The sequence below is a fragment of the Homo sapiens genome, chromosome 8 (genome assembly GCF_000001405.40).
Source record: "Homo sapiens chromosome 8, GRCh38.p14 Primary Assembly".
Taxonomy (NCBI): Eukaryota; Metazoa; Chordata; class Mammalia; order Primates; family Hominidae; genus Homo; species Homo sapiens.
The window spans coordinates 138,038,601-138,062,844 of record NC_000008.11 but is presented as its reverse complement, the minus strand read 5'-3'; the positions used below and the strand labels follow the sequence as shown (position 1 = coordinate 138,062,844).

The window sequence follows — 24,244 nt, the reverse complement described above, 5'->3', positions numbered from 1 at the left end:
TCCCCTTTCTCTCAGTCGCCCTTTCTCCCACAGCTGTACTTAGCCCACATCACTTCCTTCCCTGGAAAACCCACCCATGCAGACACCAACTGCCCCGCTCATTCAAAGGCTGCTGCCTTAAAAATCCTGTTCATTGGACAAGGTTCTGTTGAGTGAAAGTTGTTTCCTTTATAGGAATCAGAGAATTTGTAGTTAAGGAATTTGGATTTTAGCCTGTCTCTGGCACTTTTAATCTTTAATTTGAAATGCAAACTATTATTCAGCTAGTAGTAACCAGCATTCGTAACAGAGTGAATTTGGGAGCAAGGCCACCTAGATTCGAAGGTCGGCTTTCCCTACATGCTCACAGTGTTTTTATGAGGATTATGAGAGTAAATGCACAAAAGCATCTAGAAGGCCAGCCCAGAGCAGTGCTCAATGCATAATGCCTGTTATTATCATGATCTGCCACCTCCTCCATGAGGCCTTCTTCCGGCCATGCCCTCCGCCTTGACTGGAAGCACTTTCCTGGAAGCTTGTCAGGCAGATACGCTAGGATTTTCCTTAGATTTCAGTTAGTTTTGGATGTGTACATTTCTCCAACGAGGCATTTTCTTCTTAAAGTCAGAAAGGAAGTTTGTGGTTTTTGTATCCTCTGTGCTGAGAGATAGTATTTAATATGTTGAACTTTCTAGTATGGAAAAGAAATTAGAAAGGAAGTCCAAGGATATCCATGAGATGGAGCTGTGAGTCCACAATCATGAGGAACAGGATTTTTTTTTTTTTTTTTCAGGAAAGGAAGTGAAGCCCCCAGTAAACCAGCCCTGGAAAACGTTGCAGGTGAGACAGAATGTTTGGAGCTGGCTAAGACCTTGTGCAAGCCTCCATCCAGCCCATCTCCTTGGAGTTGGGGCAACTGATCATTGCAATTTACACAGATCATATACAAACCATTTTTCATACAACAAGCTTTTTTTTTTTATTATCAAGCTTTCATTTCATATGTTAGGGAAAAATTTATAAAGAGCTGGGGAAAGGCGAGAAACATTTTTAAAAAATTGACCCCTGATTGTATGACATTCTGTGCATTTATCTAATATTATTTGATGATTTAATGAATGAATACATCCTTCTAATTGACCACTTTGCAAAGCATGCACTATTATCCCTGTATTGTAATGAGCAAACTCAGGGTCCAAGAGGCCAAGTTCCGGGCTATGACTCTCTTAATGTTCCCATGTCTAGATTGCAATGTTGCTTCTTCCAAATTTCAAGCCTTTGTTCTTTATAACATCCATATAATATCAACTGAATTTCAGTACCCTACTTTTCCAAGATATTATGTTGTGATTGTGTATGGGTTTGCTACTCATGTATGGTTATAGTTGTCCCCTCCCTACAAAAGGACCCTGTTCTTATGGGGAGTGGACAATGGGATGACACAGCATGGATTGCCCACCCATGAATGTGTCTAAAATGTTTGCAAGCCAACATCACATACAGTGTTTATTACATAGACTGTTGTGTTGAAATTACTAGCTTATGTTCTAAATATTTTCCAGGCTATAAAAGTTGGTCTACCTCTTTAATGGATTTGGCAGTTTTACTGCGGGTTGATACAATACAGGCAGCAGTGGTCAAGGGCTCAGGGGATTGTATTGTGACATTTGTTCCCCAGTTTGCTAGATGGCCCCAAGCAAATCTCCTAACTTCTCGAAGTTTCAATTCATTGACTTCTAAAATAAGTTAAACTAGTGCGAAGGACTTTTTTTTTTAATACTTTTCTTATTTTTTAAAAAACACAATTTTTGAATACATCACCCCAAAAAGATCAGTCCAAGAGTTTTATATTCCACTTATTACAGGTCAACTATAGTGTTCACATAGCTCTCATTCACTGAAGCATTTCTCTATGGCTACTGGCACTAAACTAGGTAGTAGAGACAGAGAGGTAAGGGGACTCCCTGTTCCATGATATTATACTTAATCAGATCCCCCCACACCCCCCACATTCAGCCTTTTGTCTGGAGATGAGCATCTTGACACACTATAGTGGTTCTTGGCCCAAGCTTGGTGATCAGGGGCTGAACAGAGGGCTTATCCCTGGCCTAACAGCCAAGGAGCTACACACTGAATCAGGCTGCCCTAACCTCCCTGCACCGACAAGAGCTCTGTTGGCTCTTTTCATTACTCTCTTGTTTTCTATTTACTGCTGTAACAAATTACCACGAACTTAATAGTTTAAAATGAAACAAGTATATTACCTAATAGTTCTTTAGGTATCTCCCACTCTGATATAAATCTCACTGGGCTAAAATCCCGGTGTCAGCAGGACTATATGCCTTTCTGGAGGCTTTCAGGGAAAATACATTGTTTTGCTTTTCCAGCTTCTGGAAGCCACCTACATTCCCTGGTTCATGACCTTTTCTCCATCTTTAAAGTCAGCAGCATTGCATTTCTCTGACCATTATCCTTAGTTACATCTTCCTCTGACCACATCCAGGAAAGGGTCTTAGCTTTTAAAGATTCATGTGATTGGATTATGCCGACCTGAAGAATCCAGTATATTCTCTCCATCTCAAATCTCTTAACGTTAATCACATGTACAAAACCCTTTTTGCCTTGTAAGGTAATATTATCCACAGATTCTAGGGATTAGGACATAGAAAGCTTTAGGGGTAATAATTCTACCTCCCATATCATCTCAGGGTAGGAATTGTCAGGTCATGAAAAATTCATGTTCAGTTATTTCTTTTTGCTTATTTATAAAACAAAGAGACATGTTTCTCCTGAAACAATATAGAAATATGTGTATCAAACAAATGAACTCACTAAAGAATTAGAGCGATATTCATTTTTCCTTAATTCAGATATGCAGATATTTTATGAGAAAGGGCACTATGAACTTACTCTGCTTAAGAATAGTGATCTTGATTTAATAATATCCTTTTTTCCCATAAAAAGGAGAAAAGAAAAATCATGTGGCAGGAGCCAGGGGCTTTGGGCACATTTGAAGAAAAGTTACCACAAAGGTTAGATAAGTTCTCAGATAACTTCTGATTTTCAAACAGTATCTCTGTGTTCCTAGGTCCTCAGGCAAACTGTAAATAGGTAATAATAGTGGAGGTCCTAGTTAAATATAAGATACTAACTGGTGAGATTTGGTCCTAGTTAAATATAAGGTTCTAGCTGGTGAGATTTGGTCCCAGTTAAATATAAGGTTCTAGCTGGTGAGATTTGGTCCTAGTTAAATATAAGGTTCTAGCTGGTGAGATTTGGTCCTAGTTAAATATAAGGTTCTAGCTGGTGAGATTTGCTCCTAGTTAAATATAAGGTTCTAGCTGGTGAGATTTGGTTCTAGTTAAATATAAGGTTCTAGCTGGTGAGATTTGGTCTTAGTTAAATATAAGGTTCTAACTGGTGAGATTTGGTCCTAGTTAAATATAAGGTTCTAGCTGGTGAGATTTGGTTCTAGTTAAATATAAGGTTCTAACTGGTGAGATTTGGTCCTAGTTAAATATAAGGTTCTAACTGGTGAGATTTGGACCGTCCTTAGGATGCACAGGCTGTCACACATTTTTCTAGGTAGGTATTTAAGTAGGATGTTTGAGTTCTCTATTAAAGAGAGGAAAAGTGAGAAAGAGTAAGAGTGAGAGAGAACAAAAAGCTTATATACCCTTCCTACCTTAATTCAACAAATAGTTATTGAGTATCTGCATGAAGCAGACAGTGTGTTAGGAGCTAGAAATAGAGAAAATAACACATATGGTTTCTATTCTTAGGAACTTGCAGTCTAGCGTAGAAGAAAGAGAATTGAAGGAGTAATAATACACTGCAAAAAAAGAAACTCAATTAGGTTTTTGATAAGGGGAGTGCAGAGAATCATGTGACTCATGGTTATCAGAAAGTCCTGGGTGGAAGGTGGCAAACTTTTCTTTTTCCCTGAGTAGGTAGCATGGTGCAGCAGGACAGGCACTGGAGGACATGGTGTGGTGAGTTCTGCTTCAGATTGCCTCACTCATCAGCTCCATAGGTTAATCGTACTCAATAACTTTAGTGTGGGCTGGGAGTGGTGGCTCGCACTTGTAATCCCAGCACTTTGGGAGTCCAAGGTTGACAGATCACCTGAGGTCAGGAGTTCGAGACCAGCCTGCCCAACGTGGTAAAACCCTGTCTCTACTAAAAATACAAAAATTAGCTGGGCGTGGTGTCTCATGCCTGTAATCCCAGCTACTCTGGAGCCTGAGATAGGAGAATCACTTGAATCCGGGAGGCAGAGGTTGCAGTGAGCCGAGATCACGCCACTGCACTCCAGCCTGGGTGACAGAGCAAGACTGTGTCTCAAAACAAAACAAAACAAAAACAAAAAAAACCCCTTTAGTTTGAATTGACTTTAGCGTCATCCTCTCTCCCTTCTGGAGCTGTTTGTGAGATGGTTAGAAAGTTGACTTTGATGTCTTCTTCTAGTCCTAAATGTGGGGGTTTTTAGGCTCTGAGATGTGGCAGAGTGGCTTGGCAAGTGTATCTCTCCCTGGAGGCACAGACATCCTTTCAGCCAGAGATAGCAAGCCCCAGCTCAGCGTCTACCTGCTGGAAGTGATGAAGTCAGTGCCCGCAGAAAACATGGTTCATTTTCTGTTCTGTACCTCATAGACTCATACCATAATTCATTCTGAGTTTTATGGCTAAAGCAAAAAAAAAAAAAATAAATAAAGAGTACCTGTGTTTCCTTCTTCTTACTCACCACCCTTAACCTATAAATGGAGCTTCTTATGCAATGGTCCAAACATAAGTTTTCAGGAAAATGGATATCAGAAAAATAGCCTTGGAGAAATGAGGGACTCTTAAGAGAATCATTGAAAATATGTTAAGTCTAGAAAAAATATCACTATTTCAATGAAAACCTATAAAAGGAACATAAAGCAGAACATAAGCGTTCAACAACATTCAACAACAAAAATGTATGGAGAATATGTAACAGAAATTGTTCCAAAAATTGGGGTTCTAGAAGTGGGTGAGACGTGGACTGCCCCTCATTAGAGAAGTAAGCAGACATATTAAAAAGGCAGCCCTGCAAACACTGTGATATGTGCAATATTATGGGAATGTGAAAATGCCATTTGAATCAAAAAGTCAGTGATTGCTTTGCTGAAGTGGTGAGGAGAGGTTTTGCTGATATTTAAAATGAGTTTTGAAGTACAAGCAGGAGGATTTTATGTGGAATAAGAGAGGTCAGTCTAGGCACACCGACCAGCACATGAAGATCAGAGAAACAGGAGAAAATGAGGCAGGTTGGGTTCTGGACAATGGTGAGGTCTGTTCCCCTGCATTGCTGACTTGGGTGCTGACTTTTGATACTGCATGAGATACTTGGTGGTACAAATAAGTGCAGGATATTCTCCTCAAAAGGCCTGAAATCTAGCTGGAGAGATAGGACTTGAGAGATGAGCCCATTTACTGATACAGAAAGGAGAGTGAGGGATTTTAAAGGTAGAAGGGCTGAAGTAATCAGAGATACATTTTCTCATTCCTTTACTCAAAAAACATTTTGTGTGGTACCATTAGTTTGCTATCCCTGTTCTAGGAGCTAGGGATACACAAGCAAATGGGAGAGACAAAGTCCCTGCTCTGAGGGAGCTTACATTTAATGTGGGAAAGAAAGATATTAAATAAGCTAAAATAAATAAAAAGGAAAAACGATATAAAATAATGAATGGTGTGCAGAGAATTACAATAAGGTGATGAGATAGGAAGTGATTGGCGGCGGTTTTGAATAAGTGATCAGGGAGGCTTCATGGAGAAGATAACTTTCCAGCTTAGTTCTGATTATAAAGTAGGAGCTGGGTGCACACACAGATTGGGGAAGAAGCATTCCTGGAAGGGGGCATGGCTAGCGCCAATAAATGACACATGCTGAGAAAGAATGTTAGCGCCCTAGCTTTCACAATAAAGGCAGTGGAGTGGAGGCATAGCAGAGGGCGAGTGGTTTGGGATGAGGTTTAAGGTATATACTAGCAGGAGGCATCTCAGTTCGGGCTGTGTGGTTCTGACTACAGTAGAAGGTCCCTGAAGGGTTTTCAGCAAAGGGATTGTATAAAAGCATGTCTGTGTTAAAATTGCTCTAGCTGCTGCATAGAGATTGGATGTTCAACAAGGGGAGGTGGAAACAAGGACATCAGTGAAGAGGCTGTCATGGCAGTCAGGAAAAGAGAATGATGACTTGGACTAGACTGTGCAAGTGACAACAAAGAGAAATCAATACATATTGGGATGAGCTTGGACAAGGAATGATTGTGATGGCTTGTGGGTAGAAATGATTTGAAGAAGATGAACAAAAACAAAGAATCAAGAATAACCCTGGAGCAGTTATCCAGATAGGTAGGGTAGATGGAATAATTTACCCATATGGGGAAGACTGCAGATGGAGCATGTCTTCCAGAAGAAAACATGAGTTTCATTTTATCTATATTTTTTTCTGAGAGGTATATTGGACATTTATTAGGACTTTTATGTAAAAGTTGATAATTCTAGATGGAGTTTAGAAATGTAGATCTAAAACTGGGTGTGTGTATCACTTAGAAATTGTCATGGGCTGATAGCAACAGAGATGAAAATAACAATCATTTAAACAAAAGGGAAGTTTACTGTTATCTCACATTAATACCCAAAGGTAGGGAGTCTTGAGCTGACTTAGGGGTTCAGTATTACCAAGGACTAAAGCTCATTTTATCTTTCTTCTCTATAAATCATATTAAGTGGTTTCGTCACTGAAGCTGGCTTCGTGGTCAAAGATGATTTCTGGAGCTCTAGCCCTCTTACCTGTGTTTCAGGTAGGAGTTACGCCCAGGAAGAAGTGTAAGAAATGATAAAAGGCTTCCCTAGAGACTCAATCCAACAACTTCTACTTTTTATTATTTTATGTCCTATAGGTTGTGCCTATCTGTAAGGGATGCTGTGAAACAGAAAAATCTGGATATATTGCCATCCTTAATAAAATCAGGATTCTGATATAAATAAAAGAGGGATTGGCTACTGAGTAGATAATCAGCAGTTTCTACCACACTGACTCTCACAAATAGATAACCCCTAAACCCAAGGGAGTGAATGAAGTAATCTCAAGAGAGTTAGTAATAAAAGGGGCTGGGGGACTGGACTGAACTCTGTGCCCACCGCCTTGTAGAAGCTGAAAGGAGGAGGCTACACTGCCAGTGGAGACTGAGAACCTTCAGCGAATGAAGTAAAGGAAAAAAGCAAGAGTGTCTATCATCAAGAAAAATGTTTCAAATAGGAAGAAATGGTCAGTCTTTCAAATGCTGCTTAAGGGTCAAGTAACATAACCATATAGGGATGGTCATCACTGGTAATTGTTGACCAGACCATCATTCTCCAAGTGTAGATACAGAGAAACAGAATCAAAGGATAGTAAATGTGAGAGTGACCAGATTGTTTGCAGACCAGATTGTTTGGAGAGCAGATTGTTTGCACATTGGGGGTTGAAAATGTTAAGATGGGGACAGACAGATCATGAAGGGTCTTGGGCAGGATGCTGAGACCAAACTTTTCCCAGAAGTCATCATCTCTTTTTTTTTTTTTCTAATTATACTTTAAGTTTTAGGGTACATGTGTACAATGTGCAGGTTTGTTACATATGTATACATGTGCCATGTTGGTGTGCTGCACCCATTAACTCGTTATTTAACATTAGGTATATCTCCTAATGCTATCCCTCCCCCCTCCCCCCACCCCACAACAGGCCCCAGTGTGTGATGTTCCCCTTCCTGTGTCCATGTGTTCTCACTGTTCAGTTCCCACCTATGAGTGAGAACATGCGGTGTTTGGTTTTTAGTCCTTGCGATAGTTTGCTGAGAATAATGGTTTCCAGCTTCATCCATGTCCCTACAAAGGACATGAACTCATCATTTTTATGGCTGCATAGTATTCCATGGTGTATATGTGCCACATTTTCTTAATCCAGTCTATCACTGTTGGACATTTGGGTTGGTTCCAAGTCTTTGCTATTGTGAATAGTGCTGCGATAAACATGTGTGCATGTGTCTTTATAGCAGCATGTTTTATAATCCTTTGGGTATAAACCCAGTAATGGGATGGTTGGGTCAAATGGTATTTCTAGTTCTAGATCCCTGAGGAATCGCCACACTGACTTACACAATGGTTGAACGAGTTTACCGTCCCACCAACAGTGTAAAAGTGTTCCTATTTCTCCACATCCTCTCCAGCACCTGTTGTTTCCTGATATTTTAATGATCGCCATTCTAACTGGTGTGAGATGGTATCTCTTTGTGGTTTTGATTTGCATTTCTCTGATGGTCAGTGATGATGAGCATTTTTTCATGTGTCTTGGCTGCATAAATGTCTTCTTTTGAGAAGTGTCTGTTCATATCCTTCGCCCACTTTTTGATGGGATTGTTTGATTTTTTCTTGTAAATTTGTTTGAGTTCATTGTAGATTCTGGGTATTAGCCCTTTGTCAGATGAGTAGATTGCAAAAATTTTCTCCCATTCTGTAGGTTGCCTGTTCACTCTGATGGTAGTTTCTTTTGCTGTGCAGAAGCTCTTTAGTTTAATTAGATCCCATTTGTCAATTTTGGCTTTTGTTGCCATTGCTTTTGGTGTTTTAGACATGAAGTCCTTGCCCATGCCTATGCATATAAACAGAACCAATGACAAAAACCACATGATTATCTCAATAGATGCAGAAAAGGCCTTTGACAAAATTCAACAATGCTTCATGTTAAAACTCTCAATAAATTAGGTATTGATGGGATGTATCTCAAAATAATAAGAGCTATCTATGACAGACCCACAGCCAATATCATACTGAATGGGCAAAAACTGGAAACATTCCCTTTGAAAACTGGCACAAGACAGGGATGCCCTCTCTCACCACTCCTATTCAACATAGTGTTGGAAGTTCTGGCCAGGGCAATCAGGCAGGAGAAGGAAATAAAGGGTATTCAATTAGGAAAAGAGGAAGTCAAATTGTCCCTGTTTGCAGATGACATGATTGTATATCTAGAAAACCCCATCATCTCAGCCCAAAATCTCCTTAAGCTGGTAGGCAACTTCAGCAGAATCTCAGGATACAAAATCAATGTACAAAAATCACAAGCATTCTTATACGCCAACAACAGACAAACAGAGAGCCAAATCATTGCTTCAAAGAGAATAAAATACCTAGGAATCCAACTTACAAGAGACGTGAAGGACCTCTTCAAGGAGAACTACAAACCACTGCTCAAGGAAATAAAATAGGATACAAACAAATGGAAGAACACTTCATGTTCATGGGTAGAAATAATCAATATCGTGAAAATGGCCATACTGCCCAAGGTAATTTATAGATTCAATGCCATCCCCATCAAGCTACCAATGACTTTCTTCACAGAGTTGGAAAAAACTACTTTCAAGTTCATATGGAACAAAAAAGAGCTCGCATCACCAAGTCAATCCTAAGCCAAAATAACAAAGTGGGAGGCATCATGCTACCTGACTTCAAACTATACTACAAGGCTACAGTAACCAAAACAGCATGGTACTGGTACCAAAAGAGAAATATAGACCAATGGAACAGAACAGAGCCCTCAGAAATGATGCTGCGTATCTACAACTATCTGATCTTTGACAAACCGGAAAAAACAAGCAATGGGGAAAGCATTTATTAAATAATAATATTTAATATTTAATAAATATTTAATAAATGGTGCTGGGAAAACTGGCTAGCCATATGTAGAAAGCTGAAACTGGATCCCTTCCTTACACCTTATACAAAAATTAATTCAAGATGGATTAAAGACTTAAATGTTAGACCTAAAACCATAACAACCCTATAAGAAAACCTAGGCATTACCGTTCAGGACATAGGCATCATCTTTTATAGAGACTAGTACCGTTGTGCTGGAGCTCATGTTTAAGCTCATGTGCTGTAGTGAAGCCAGTGAGAATGGAAGGGGCATTGTTTACCTTGATGAGACTGCATGAACAGTTTCCTCATGGACCTCAGTGGCTGTTTAGATACAGCTGCCATCAAAAGGAAGGAGTCAAAGATTACTATAAAGTTTCAAATATAAATGATAGGAGGCTGGGCGCAGTGGGTCATGCTTGTATTCCCAGAACTTTGGGAGGCCAAAGTGGACATATCACCTGAGGTCAGGAGTTCGAGACCAGCTTGGCCAACGTGATGGAACCCTGTCTCTACTAAAAAAAAAAATTACAAATTTAGCCAGGCATGGTGGTGGGCACCTGTAATCCAAGCTACTCGGGAGGCTGAGGCAGGAGAATTGCTTGAACCTGGGAGGTGGAGGCTGCAGTAAGCTGAGATCATGCCACAGCCACTGCACTCCAGCCTGGGCAATAGAGCAGGACTCCCATCTCAAAAAAAAAAAAAAAAGAAGAAACTCTAAATGATGGGGAAGAGGCCCTTTCATGAGTATAAACTGATAATTCACTTAGGAAACAAGCTTAGTGGAGAAAGCAAATAAAGCCAAGTTTGATAAATTTGAAATATCAAATAAAACACAAAACACTAGTTAATTTATAAGGTATAAAATTGAGGTATGAAATTAAGATGATAAAATGGGATGGGTTCAAGGAGAGAACAAGGTGGAGTGCTTTTGGTAATTATTTACAGGAAATTAAACTATTCATAGCTAATTATTCATTAATAAATGTTTACTGGATATCTACCACATCCCAGGCATTAGGAAAAGCGATGAAGATACAAGTTGAATACAATATAGTCTCTAGCCTCCAGGAGCTTATTGTCTAGACTTTGGGAAATAAACGTATAATGCAATGAATGCATTGACAGTTGACACCATGAGAGGGAAACGTATTCAAGGGAAGGCATGGGGATTCGGAGGAATTCCACCTCAGCTTTACTATAGTTTTTCTCTGCTGGAAAAACTTACACATAGATAAAGAAATAACCATGTCACATTATGGGAAATAGAAGCTGTTAATACGTCTAGGACCTACTTTATTGCTCATTTATGGGTTTTAAATATAAGGAAAAGAAATGAAGCATTTTATAAGCACCTATATGCATCTATAAATTTCTTGTTCATGATTTCATGTAGCATTTGCAGCAATGGTGTCATCATCATTTTCCCATATATAGAAACTGGGTCTCCAGGAAAACAAATCTCACTCTCCAGGTCACACCACAAGTAAGTGGTAGAGCTGAGATTCCAATCCAGGTCTGTCTTATCTCACAATTGGTGTTCTTTCATTTGTCTCATGTTAATGGTAGAACAAACTTTCTCACTCTCTGCACTGTTGACATTTGACACTGTAGAATTATTTGTTACGCATTCTTGGCTTCTACCCATGTCCTACTAGATACCAGTAGCACCCTCTCCAATGGAAACATCTCCACATATTCCCAAATGTCCCTAGAGGGGCAAAATGGCTTCTGGATAAGAACTGAGGACCAATGTTCTAGAGAAGGCTCCAATCTGTCTCTTTCTCTCTGCAAAAACACACCCCCCAACTCCCCGCCACACACACAAGTTTCCTACAGAACAAAATATTTCAATCTGATTGTTCCCCAGACATTCCTTATCTTCTCTTCTAAACTTTCTTCTCTTGTATAATAGATTCTGTACAACAACACTATTATCCATCCCTCACCCAAAACAGAGACTTGGGAATCATCCTGGACTCATCCTTCTGCTTTTCTCTCTGCAGTAGATCAGCCTTTTGCTTCTGAAACATCTCTTGGACTTACCCTCTTCTCTCGAGTTCTATCACCACCACCCCAATCCAGGCCTTCTTCTGATACACCAAAGAGAGAATATATACTGCACACCCAGCACACGTCTCACCCTGTAATCATCAAAGCTGATAGCCCTTTGAGCACTCATTTCCTTTCAAGTCAAAAGACCTCCATAGGCTGCCCTATTATTTTCATTATTTCCTCCATTGCATTCTATCCCTCTTTGTTTTTCTATTTCAATACTTCCTAAGCACAGTCCAAGGGACATATGCCCATCTGTGACAGAGTTCTTATTGTTCCACAGTGAGATGGGAAAGACAAGGGCAAAAACAGATAACTGTCCTCTTGAAAATTATTTTCTCCTCTACTAATAGTGTGTAATTTTCATCTTTTCCTTTTTTGTGCATTTTGGAAGGCTGAACAATTATATGTCCTTCAAAGAAATCCTTTTGTTTATTGATGATACTTTGCTGTTCTTTAAATGTCCTAACATGGTAAATGAGAGAAAAAAGAAATAAAAACAATCATATGTTGCTACTGCTTGAAAATTTGTCAGCCCATGAAATTGCATGTTTAGTGATTACCATTTCTTTACTCTTTATTAGGTTCCCTTAGAAGCATGTCCTAAGACACAGGTTTGCAGGTCAGTGGTGTATTTGGAAGGTGAGCCATGAAGTACTTTTGTAAGAGTGGTGGAGGGAGGAAAATGCAGGAAGGCAACCCATGGTGCATAATGGGACCAGAGACCACCACAAGAGGTGGGGCCCAATCCCATAGGCAAACCCTCAAAACTAATGGGGGCCTACACCGCAATCCCTGTCAGTGACTGGAAGGGGCTATTTCGTCTTCTGTATCTCATTTCGTGTAGCCATCCCCAGTGAGTCCTCCCAACTGGCCCCACCCAAGCTCTGATTTAATTGCTCATCCTTGTACCTCCAAATGTTAAAGCTCTTTGAGGACAGAGACATCTTCTTCATTTTCTTTATCAATGTCTACCCTAGAGCCTTGTACATGGGAAATCATCATCGAATGTTAACTGAGTGAATTCCTGTGTATAGTGACATAGGAGGAAAAGGGAAGAACTAGTTAGTTTTTAGTGCTCATTTAATGGAAAACATGATGGCATATTTGTTATTCTTTGTGAGAAGTCTTGAGGGTGAGTTCGTGCTCTGGTGTGGCAACTTGTCCCAGACAAATGAATCAGTTAGAGTTGATTTGAGTCAGTGTATGTCACTTTCACTCTGAATAAAAGGTGCCAAGATGACTTTCTAACATCCTGTTTCCGCAAAACCGCCTGGAGTTAGTGTGTGTTAGTACCCATCATGAATCAAGCAGTGTCTGAGATTTGGAAAGGAAATAGTCTAGAACTTCACTGTCCAGTGTGGTAGCCTACAGATGCGTGTGGCTCTTTATGTTTACACTTAACTAAAATAAATAAAATAAAAATTTCAGTTCTGAAGTCTCATCAGCTGCATTTTAAGAACACAGTAGCCACAAAGAGTTAGTGGTTACTGTGTTGGTCAGTGCAGATATAGAACATTTCTGTCACTACAGGAAGTTCTATCAGACAAAGCTGGTGTAGAGGACTGGGCATAAGGAGTGTCTGTGTGTGTGTGTGTGCGCCTGTGTATGTGTGTGTGCACAAGTGTGCCTCTTTGGCTTCCTAAGAAGTGGGAATCAGAACAGAAAAAAAGGAGAATGTTCTATTCGTTTCAGCTGTGTTTTATTTATCCTTCAGCCATCAGTTTCCTGAGGAAGCCTTTCCTGACCCTACACTAGGGTCAGGGATGACCCTTATTATAATTTCTGTAACACAAAGTTCCTCTTCTAAGAAAGATGGTATTTCTCTTACAATTGTGTGTGTGTGTGTGTGTGTGTGTGTGTGTGTGCAGCTGTAATAATGTAACTATTGTCTATCTCTTCCAGTTAGTTGTACACTCAATGAGGTCACAGGTTGGGTCTGATTTTTCTTAATATTTTGCATTGCTTGGCCTAAACTGAATATTTGTTAAATAACCTAATGGTATGTTGAGCGTTTACAATCACAAAACATTGTGGTATATACCCAGTAATGGGATGGCTGGGTCAAATGGTATTTCTAGATCTAGATCCCTGAGGAATCGCCACACTGACTTCCACAATGGTTGAACTAGTTTACAGTCCCACCAACTGTGTAAAAGTGTTCCTATTTTTCCACATCCTCTCCAGCACCTGTTGTTTCCTGACTTTTTAATGATCTCCATTCTAACTGGTGTGAGATGGTATCTCATTGTGGTTTGGATTTGCATTTCTCTGATGGCCAGTGATGATGAGCATTTTTTCATGTGTTTTTTGGCTGTATAAATGTCTTCTTTTGAGAAGTGTCTGTTCATATCCTTTGTCCACCATGCTGCTATAAAGACACATGCACACATATGTTTATCGTGGCACTATTCACAATAGCAAAGACTTGGAACCAACCCAAATGTCCAACAGTGATAGACTGGATTAAGAAAATGTGGCACATATACACCATGGAATACCATGCAGCCATAAAAAATGATGAGTTCCGAGGAGCCAAGATGGCCGAACAGGAACAGCTCCGGTCTACAGCTCCCAGTGTGAGTGACGCAGAAGACGGGTGATTTCTGCATTTCCATCTGAGGTACCAGGTTCATCTCACTAGGGAGCGCCAGACAGTGGGCACAGGTCAGTGGGTGCGCGCACCGTGTGCAAGCCAAAGCAGGGCGAGGCATTGCCTCACTCGGAAAGTGCAAGGGGTCAGGGAGGTCCCTTTCCTAGTCAAACAAAGGGGTGACAGACGGCACCTGGAAAATCGGGTCACTACCACCAGAATACTGCGCTTTTCCAACGGGCTTAAAAAACGGCGCACCAGGAGATTATATCCCGCACCTGGCTCGGAGGGTCCTACGCCCACGGAGTCTCACTGGTTGCTAGCGCAGCAGTCTGAGATCAAACTGCAAGGCGGCAGCGAGGCTGGGGGAAGGGCGCCTGCCATTGCCCAGGCTTGCTTAGGTAAACAAAGCAGCCGGGAAGCTCCAACTGGGTGGAGCCCACCACAGCTCAAGGAGGCCTTCCTGCCTCTGTAGGCTCCACCTCTGGGGGGCAGGGCACAGACAAACAAAAAGACAGCAGTAACCTCTGCAAACTTAAATGTCCCTGTCTGACAGCTTTGAAGAGACCAGTGGTTCTCCCAGCATGGAGCTGGAGATCTGAGAACGGGCAGACTGCCTCCTCAAGTGGGTCCCTGACTTCCGAGCAGCCTAACTGGGAGGCACCCCCTAGCAGGGGCAGACTGACACCTCACACAGCCGGGTACTCCAACAGACCTGCAGCTGAGGGTCCTGTCTGTTAGAGGGAAAACTAACAAAAAGAAAGGACATCCACACCAAAAACCCATCTGTACATCACCATCATCAAAGACCAAAAGTAGATAAAACCACAAAGATGGGGAAAAAACAGAGCAGAAAAACTGGAAACTCTAAAAAGCAGAGCGCCTCTCCTCCTCCAAAGGAACGCAGTTCCTCACCAGCAACAGAACAAAGCTGGATGGAGAATGACTTTGACGAGCTGAGAGAAGAAGGCTTCAGACAATCAAATTACTCCGAGCTACAGGAGGACATTCAAACCAAAGGCAAAGAAGTTGAAAAAAATTTAGAAGAATGTATAACTAGAATAACCAATACAGAGAAGTGCTTAAAGGAGCTGATGGAGCTGAAAACCAAGGCTCGAGAACTACGTGAAGAATGCAGAAGCCTCAGGAGCCGATGCGATCAACTGGAAGAAAGGGTATCAGCGATGGAAGATGAAATGAATGAAATGAAGCGAGAAGGGAAGTTTAGAGAAAAAAGAATACAAAGAAATGAGCAAAGCCTCCAAGAAATATGGGACTATGTGAAAAGACCAAATCTACCTCTGATTCGTGTACCTGAAAGTGACGAGCAGAATGGAACCAAGTTGGAAAACACTCTTCAGGATATTATCCAGGAGAACTGCCCTAATCTAACAAGGCAGGCCAACATTCAGATTCAGGAAATACAGAGAATGCCACAAAGATACTCCTCGAGAACAGCAACTCCAAGACACATAATTGTCAGATTCACCAAAGTTGAAATGAAGGAAAAAATGTTAAGGGCAGCCAGAGAGAAAGGTCGGGTTACCCTCAAAGGGAAGCCCATCAGACTAACAGTGGATCTCTCAGCAGAAACTCTACAAGCCAGAAGAAAGTGGGGGCCAATATTCAACATTCTTAAAGAAAAGAATTTTCAACCCAGAATTTCATATCCAGCCAAACTAAGCTTCATAAGTGAAGGAGAAATAAAATCCTTTACAGACAAGCAAATGCTGAGAGATTTTGTCACCACCAGGCCTGCCCTAAAAGAGCTCCTGAAGGAAGCGCTAAACATGGAAAGGAACAAGTGGTACCAGCTGCTGCAAAATCATGCCAAAATGTAAAGACCATCAAGACTAGGAAGAAACTGCATCAACTAATGAGCAAAATAAACAGCTAACATCATAATGACAGGATCAAATTCACACATAACAATATTAACTTTAAATGTAAATGGACTAAATGCTCCAATTAAAAGACACAGACTGGCAAATTGGATAAAGAGTCAAGACCCATCAGTGTGCTGTATTCAGGAAATCCATCTCATGTGCAGAGACACACATAGGCTCAAAATAAAAGGATGGAGGAAGATCTACCAAGCAAATGGAAAACAAGAAAAGGCAGGGGTTGCAATCCTAGTCTCTGATAAAACAGACTTTAAACCAACAAAGATCAAAAGAGACAAGGCCATTACATAATGGTAAAGGGATCAATTCAACAAGAAGAGCTAACTATCCTAAATAGATATGCATCCAATACAGGAGCACCCAGATTCATAAAGCAAGTCCTGAGTGACCTACAAAGAGACTTAGACTCCCACACATTAATAATGGGAGACTTTAACACCCCACTGTCAACATTAGACAGATCAACGAGACAGAAAGTCAACAAGGATACCCAGGAATTGAACTCAGCTCTGCACCAAGTGGACCTAATAGGCATCTACAGAACTCTCCACCCCAAATCAACAGAATATACATTTTTTTCAGCACCACACCACAGCTATTCCAAAATTGACCACATACTTGGAAGTAAAGCTCTCCTCAGCAAATGTAAAAGAACAGAAATTATAACAAACTATCTCTCAGACCACAGTGCAATCAAACTAGAACTCAGGATTAAGAAACTCACTCAAAACCGCTCAACTACATGGAAAATGAACAACCTGCTCCTGAATGACTACTGGGTACATAACGAAATGAAGGCAGAAATAAAGATGTTCTTTGAAACCAATGAGAACAAAGACACAACATACCAGAATCTCTGGGACGCATTCAAAGCAGTGTGTAGAGGGAAATTTATAGCACTAAATGCCCACAAGAGAAAGCAGGAAAGATCTAAAATTGACACCCTAACATCACAATTAAAAGAACTAGAAAAGCAAGAGCAAACACATTCAAAAGCTAGCAGAAGGCAAGAAATAACTAAAATCAGAGCAGAACTAAAGGAAATCGAGACACAAAAAACCCTTCAAAAAATTAATGAATCCAGGAGCTGGTTTTTTGAAAGGATCAACAAAATTGATAGACCGCTAGCAAGACTAATAAAGAAGAAAAAAAGAGAGAAGAATCCAATAGACGCAATAAAAAATGATAAAGGGGATATCACCACCGATCCCACAGAAATACAAACTACCATCAGAGAATACTACAAACACCTCTACGCAAATAAACTAGAAAATCTAGAAGAAATGGATAAATTCCTTGACACATACACTCTCCCAAGACTAAACCAGGAAGAAGTTGAATCTCTGAATAGACCAATAACAGGATCTGAAATTGTGGCAATAATCAATAGCTTACCAACCAAAAAGAGTCCAGGACCAGATGGATTCACAGCCGAATCCTACCAGAGGTACAAGGAGGAACTGGTACCATTCCTTCTGAAACTATCCCAATCAATAGAAAAAGAGGGAATCCTCCCTAACTCATTTTATGAGGCCAGCATCATCCTGATACCAAAGCCAGGCAGAGACACAACCAAAAAAGAGAATTTTAGACCAATATCCTTGATGAACATTGATGCAAAAATCCTCAATAAAATACTGGCAAACCAAATCCAGCAGCACATCAGAAAGCTTATCCACCATGATCAAGTGGGCTTCATCCCTGGGATGCAAGGCTGGTTCAATATATGCAAATCAATAAATGTAATCCAGCATAGAAACAGAGCCAAAGACAAAAACCACATGATTATCTCAATAGATGCAGAAAAGGCCTTTGATGAAATTCAACAATGCTTCATGCTAAAAACTCTCAATAAATTAGGTATTGATGGGACGTATTTCAAAATAATAAGAGCTATCTACAACAAACTCACAGCTAATATCATACTGAATGGGCAACAACTGGAAGCATTCCCTTTGAAAACTGGCACAAGACAGGGATGCCCTCTCTCACCACTCCTATTCAACATAGTGTTGGAAGTTCTGGCCAGGGCAATTAGGCAGGAGAAGGAAATAAAAGGTATTCAATTAGGAAAAGAGGAAGTCAAATTGTCCCTGTTTGCAGACGACATGATTGTATATCTAGAAAACCCCATTTGTCTCAGCCCAAAATCTCCTGAAGCTGATAAGCAACTTCAGCAAAGTCTCAGGATACAAAATCAATGTACAAAACTCACAAGCATTCTTATACACCAACAACAAACAGCCAAATCATGAGTGAACTCCCATTCACAATTGCTTCAAAGAGAATAAAATACCTAGGAATCCAACTTACAAGGGATGTGAAGGACCTCTTCAAGGAGAACTACAAACCACTGCTCAAGGAAATGAAAGAGGATACAAACAAATGGAAGAACATTCCATGCTCATGTGTAGGAAGAATCAATATCGTGAAAATGGCCATACTGCCCAAGGTAATTTACAGATTCAATGCCATCCCCATCAAGCTACCAATGCCTTTCTTCATATAATTGGAAAAAACTACTTTAAAGTTCATATGGAACCAAAAAAGAGCCCGCATCGCCAAGTCAATCCTAAGCCAAAAGAACAAAGCTGTAGGCATCACACTACCTGACTTCAAACTATACTACAAGGCTACAGTAACCAAAACAGCATGGTACTGGTACCAAAACAGAGATATAGATCAATGGAACAGAACAGAGCCCTCAGAAATAATGCTGCATATCTACAACTATCTGACCTTTGACAAACCTGAGAAAAACCAGCATTGGGGAAAGGATTCCCTATTTAATAAATGGTGCTGGGAAAACTGGCTAGCTATATGTAGAAAGCTGAAACTGGATCCCTTCCTTACACCTTATACAAAAATCAATTCAAGATGCATTAAAGACTTAAACGTTAGACCTAAAACCATAAAAACCCTAGAAGAAAACCTAGGCATTACCATTCAGGACATAGGCATGGGCAAGGACTTCATGTCTAAAACACCAAAAGCAATGGCAATAAAAGCCAAAATTGACAAATGGGATCTAATTAAACTAAAGAGCTTCTGCACAGCAAAAGAAACTACCATCAGAGTGAACAGGCAACCTACAAAATGGGAGAAAATTTTCTCAACCTACTCATCTGACAAAGGGCTAATATCCAGAATCTACAATGAACTCAAACAAATTTACAAGAAAAAAGCAAACAACCCCATCAAAAAATGGGCAAAGGACATGAACAGACACTTCTCAAAAGAAGACGTTTATGCAGCCAAAAAACACATGAAAAAATGCTCACCAGCACTGGCCATCAAAGAAATGCAAATCAAAACCACAATGAGATACCATCTCACACCAGTTAGAATGGCAATCATTAAAAAGTCAGGAAACAACAGGTGCTGGAGAGGATGTGGAGAAATAGGAACACTTTTACACTGTTGGTGGGACTGTAAACTAGTTCAACCATTGTGGAAGTCAGTGTGGCGATTCCTCAGGGATCTAGAACTAGAAATACCATTTGACCCAGCCATCCCACTACTGGGTATATACCCAAAGGACTATAAATCATGCTGCTATAAAGACACATGCACACGTATGTTTATTGCGGCACTATTCACAATAGCAAAGACTTGGAACCAACCTAAATGTCCAACAATGATAGACTGGATTAAGAAAATGTGGCACATATACACCATGGAATACTATGCAGCCATAAAAAATGATGAGTTCATGTCCTTTGTAGGGACACGGATGAAATTGGATATCATCATTCTCAGTAAACTATCGCAAGAACAAAAAACCAAACACCACATATTCTCACTCATAGGTGGGAATTGAACAATGAGATCACATGGACACAGGAAGGGGAACATCACACTCTGGGGACTGGTGTGGGGTGGGGGGAGGGGGGAGGGATAGCATTAGGAGATATACCTAATGCTAAATGATGAGTTGATGGGTGCAGCACACCAACATGGCACATGTATACATATGTAACTAACCTGCACATTGTGCACATGTACCCTAACACTTGAAGTATAATAATAATAAAAAAATTGTGGTAGACAACTTATTAAAGTTATTTTTTTCTATTTTCACTCTAATATTTTAAGTGATAATATTAAGTTCATTTTAGAAGTGAAGAAACCAGAATTCAAAGAGGTTCCATGACTCACCCTCCCTAATCAATAGATGACAGAGATCAATATTAGGAGAACATTGGCTGGTAAAGCATATATGATCTAAACAACAAGCAGCCACTGATAGAATTAAAGCTGAAGAGAAAATCTGGGGGCATCTAAGAAGATGACTTTAGAAAGCTTGCCGTTCCCTAAAATGGAAAAGAGAAGCAATAAATGCAATATCTGCTGAAGGTGTAAGGCCATGCTATAAGCATGCTGGCAGAGGAGTCTAGAGGGGAATCTGTGAACCGAGTGCCTCTTCTGCCTGGGAAGTATAGGACAGGGGCCCCCTTGAAGGTGATTTCTGTGTGGTTGTAAAGATAAGCAGGTGATTGGTGGATAATCAGGTGCAGGCATCCTATCCAGTGAATCAGCACAGGGAAATGTAGAGCAGTGTGAGGGACCTGCTGCATTACAGGAATGACCTGTAGCTGCATTTGACTTATATGTAGGCAAGAAAATGGAAATGAGACTGAGAAGGTAGATGATCCTTGATTATGGGAGGGGATCTACAAGTCATGACACTGACCATTTTGTTGACAATGGGAAGACCCTGAACTGTTGTCCCGTATTGAGATGTGAGCATGGAGGGAAACAGTAGGATGGACGAGGAGTGGGGACAGTCTAGAGTAAATATCAGTCAAGAGTGAGATAATGTGGGGCAAAGGAGAGTGGGTATGGATTTGGGGGCATAGATAATAGGTTAAGTCTTGTACGTGCTGAGGAAGATATGGCCATAGTCTCTATGCAAGGAGATGTCCTGGTCCCCAATAATCTCGAAGCCTTAATGGAATAAGGTTTGCAGTGACAATACCTTTGGAACCTGGTTGACCCAGAGATCAGCATTGGATGATTGCTGTCCTGTGTTTCACATCCCTTCACTTGCACTGAATGAGTAAAGCTATTCAGTAGCTTATCTCATTGGGAATAAAATTCACTATTCTCAAACCGAAGCTTGAGTCCCTAGAAATATGCCCCCAAGTTCACCATGTAAACACTGTGTTTTTAATTCTAAAATCTCACACGGAGAGAGGCTGTTCTTCAACTTAATTTGATTCAATCAATATTTAACAAAGGTCAGTCAGGTTAATGCAGTTAATATAGTAGGTTCCACAGAGAAGAAGACTGAAAATGAAAGGTTGGGCTTTCTGGACTTCAATAGTGTATAATCTAATTGGAGCCAAAAAGTAGAGAGAGTGCAAAGAAGATACCTTTTATTGGAATGCATTTTCTGTATGTGAAACATATTTAAAAGACTGTTATGTTTTTAGTTGACAGAATTAAAAGGTTCTAGCAAATTTCTATAAGTGAATAAGAGTTGATTGTGGGTTTTCATGATAAAATGACAGGTAGCATTGGAGGAGGACCATTCTTTCTGAATTGAGTCAATGGCTTTTAGGAATATGGGAATTAAGAGATGCTGGTGCTGAGTCCTGCTGGGGACAGTCATCTTCTCTAGCAGTTCATCCCATGCTTCCTCTGGGGACCTTTCCAGATGCTGACAGATTTCTTGGGTGCTCCAATGCAGGCTGCATAAACTTGGGATGTTGTCACTGAGAGCTGGGCATGAGGGCATGAGCAGAGCACTAAAGAATGAATGTCCCTCCCTTATAGACATGAAGTTGAATTAAGTATCCCCTTGTTTTAGACAGTCAGGGCTTTCAAATTGAAGCCAACTGATTTCCATGTCTAAGGTCCTATGAGAATTTGTTTATTGGTTCATGATTTCACTGGGAAGGGAAAGAACTCTGCCACCTTCTGAGGCACAATAAGTCCTCACTTAACATCATCAATAGGTTCTTAGAAACTGTGATATTAATTGAAAGAACATGTAACAAAACCAATTGTAGCTTATGCTAATTAATATAAATAAGAGTTAAATTTCTACAGTATATTTCTGACCACAAAACATCAATCATTTAACTTCTAAATAAAGACTCAAAACACTGAAATAAATGTAAGCTAATATACATTTTAAAAAATAATAAACATAAGTAACATAATTATTTACACGATTATTCATTTCAGGGTCACAGGCGGCTGGAGCCTGTCCCAGCAACTCAGGATGAAAGGCATGAACCAGCCTGGGACAGGAGGCCATCCCATTGCAAGGTACGCTCACACACAGCCACACTCACTCAGACTGGGACAGTGTAGCACACCAATTAACCTAAGGTGCACAGCTTTGGGGTGTGGGAGGAAACAAAAGTACCTGTAGAAACCCATGTAGACATGGGAAGAACATTCAAGCCCCACCTAGATGGGGAATCTATATTTTTTTCTCATCGACTTCATAATGAAGTGATGTTGAACAAAACAGTGTTATTAAAAGACCTGCTCTATGTACATTCTCATCTAGAACACCCGAAGTCCAGGTGTAAATGCTGTGCCCCAATGAGACAGTTATTCTCCAGATAAGGGGCTACCAGTGTTTGAATTAGGAATGAACAAACCTGAGATTTCAGGGACATTCTCAAGAAAGGTCTCATGTCCCATAAAGACAAATTGCCTCTCCACCACTGACGAAAGATAATCTTCCACAACAAGTGGATCGTGGGGGCAATTTTATTATTTCTGTCATAAGTCATTCCCTGCTGGGGCATAGTAGTGAGGTGGGAGGAATTTTGTCCACCCACTTCCAGAAAAAGAAGAGAGAAACGTCAGGGCAGCAAGCACAGCTTCCCAGCAGAGGTTAGAATGTCTCAGCATCTAAGGTCAGAATAACATGTTTCTGATAATGAACCATGACAATTAGAGACCATCTTCCCTTGAGGTGGTTCTATGAATTGTCCAGAACAGTGGGAAGAGGAGTGATGACAATGTTAAGTATAGATTCCTTCTTTGAGTGGAAAAAACACCCACTGATGCCTTGGACATATCGGAAGAGGAGAACTAAAGAGAAAAACTGTGTCTTCTGACAATCGGTGGGATTGAGACTTGGATCTTTTAAAATAAAGAAAGAAAGGAAATATTACGTGGTTTTGCACCAGAAGCTGGTGAAGATGCCCAAGCTATTTACCCCTACAATTTTGCTTGACTCAAACCATGTTAAATGTGTAACGGCCACCACTAATTCTTAACTTTTAAAAATTTTTATTTTTAAGTTCCAGGGTACATATGCAGGGTGTGCAGGTTTGTTGCATAGGTAAATGTGTGCTGTGGTGGTTTGCTGCACCTCTCAACCCATTACCTAGGTATTAAGGCCAGAATGCACTAGCTATTTTTCCTAATGCTCTCTCACTGCCCCCCACCCCCTGATAGGCCCCACTGTGTATTGTTCCCCTCTCTGTGACCACATGCTCTCATTGTTCAGCTCCCACTTATAAGTGAGAACATGTGGTGTTTGGTTTTCTGTTCCTGCGTTAGTTTGCTGAAGATAATGGCTTCCAGCTCCATCCATGTCCTTGCAAAGGACGTGATCTCATTCCTTTTTATGGCTGCATAGTATTCCATGGTGTATATGTACCACATTTTATCTAGTCTATCATTGATGGGCATTTTGGTTGATTCCATGTATTTGCTATTGTGAACAGTGCTACAAGAACATACATGTGCATGTATCTTTGTAATAGAATGATTTATATTCCTTTGGGTGTATACCCAGTAATGGGATTGCTGGGTCAAATGGTATTTCTGGTTCTAGGTCTTTGAGGAATCGTCACATTGTCTTCCACAATGGTTGAACTAATTTACACTCCCACCAACAGTGTAAAAGTGTTCCTAGTTCTCCACAACCTCACCAGCATCTCTTGTTTCTTGACTTTTTAATAATTGCCATTCTGACTGGTGTGAGATGTTATCTCACTGTGGTTTTGATTTGCATTTCTCTAATGATTTTAAGCACAAAATG

General features: G+C 40.5%; 1 long non-coding RNA gene across 1 annotated transcript in view; it reads left to right on the top strand.

Moving 5' to 3' along the window:
* The window catches only part of LOC401478 (uncharacterized), a 273,872-nt gene that overhangs the window by 20,701 nt on the left and 228,927 nt on the right, over positions 1 to 24,244 (top strand). Inside the window, exon 2 of the long non-coding RNA NR_161374.1 lies at positions 22,423 to 22,506. This is a non-coding gene — a long non-coding RNA (uncharacterized LOC401478). The remainder of the gene's footprint in view (positions 1 to 22,422; positions 22,507 to 24,244) is intronic.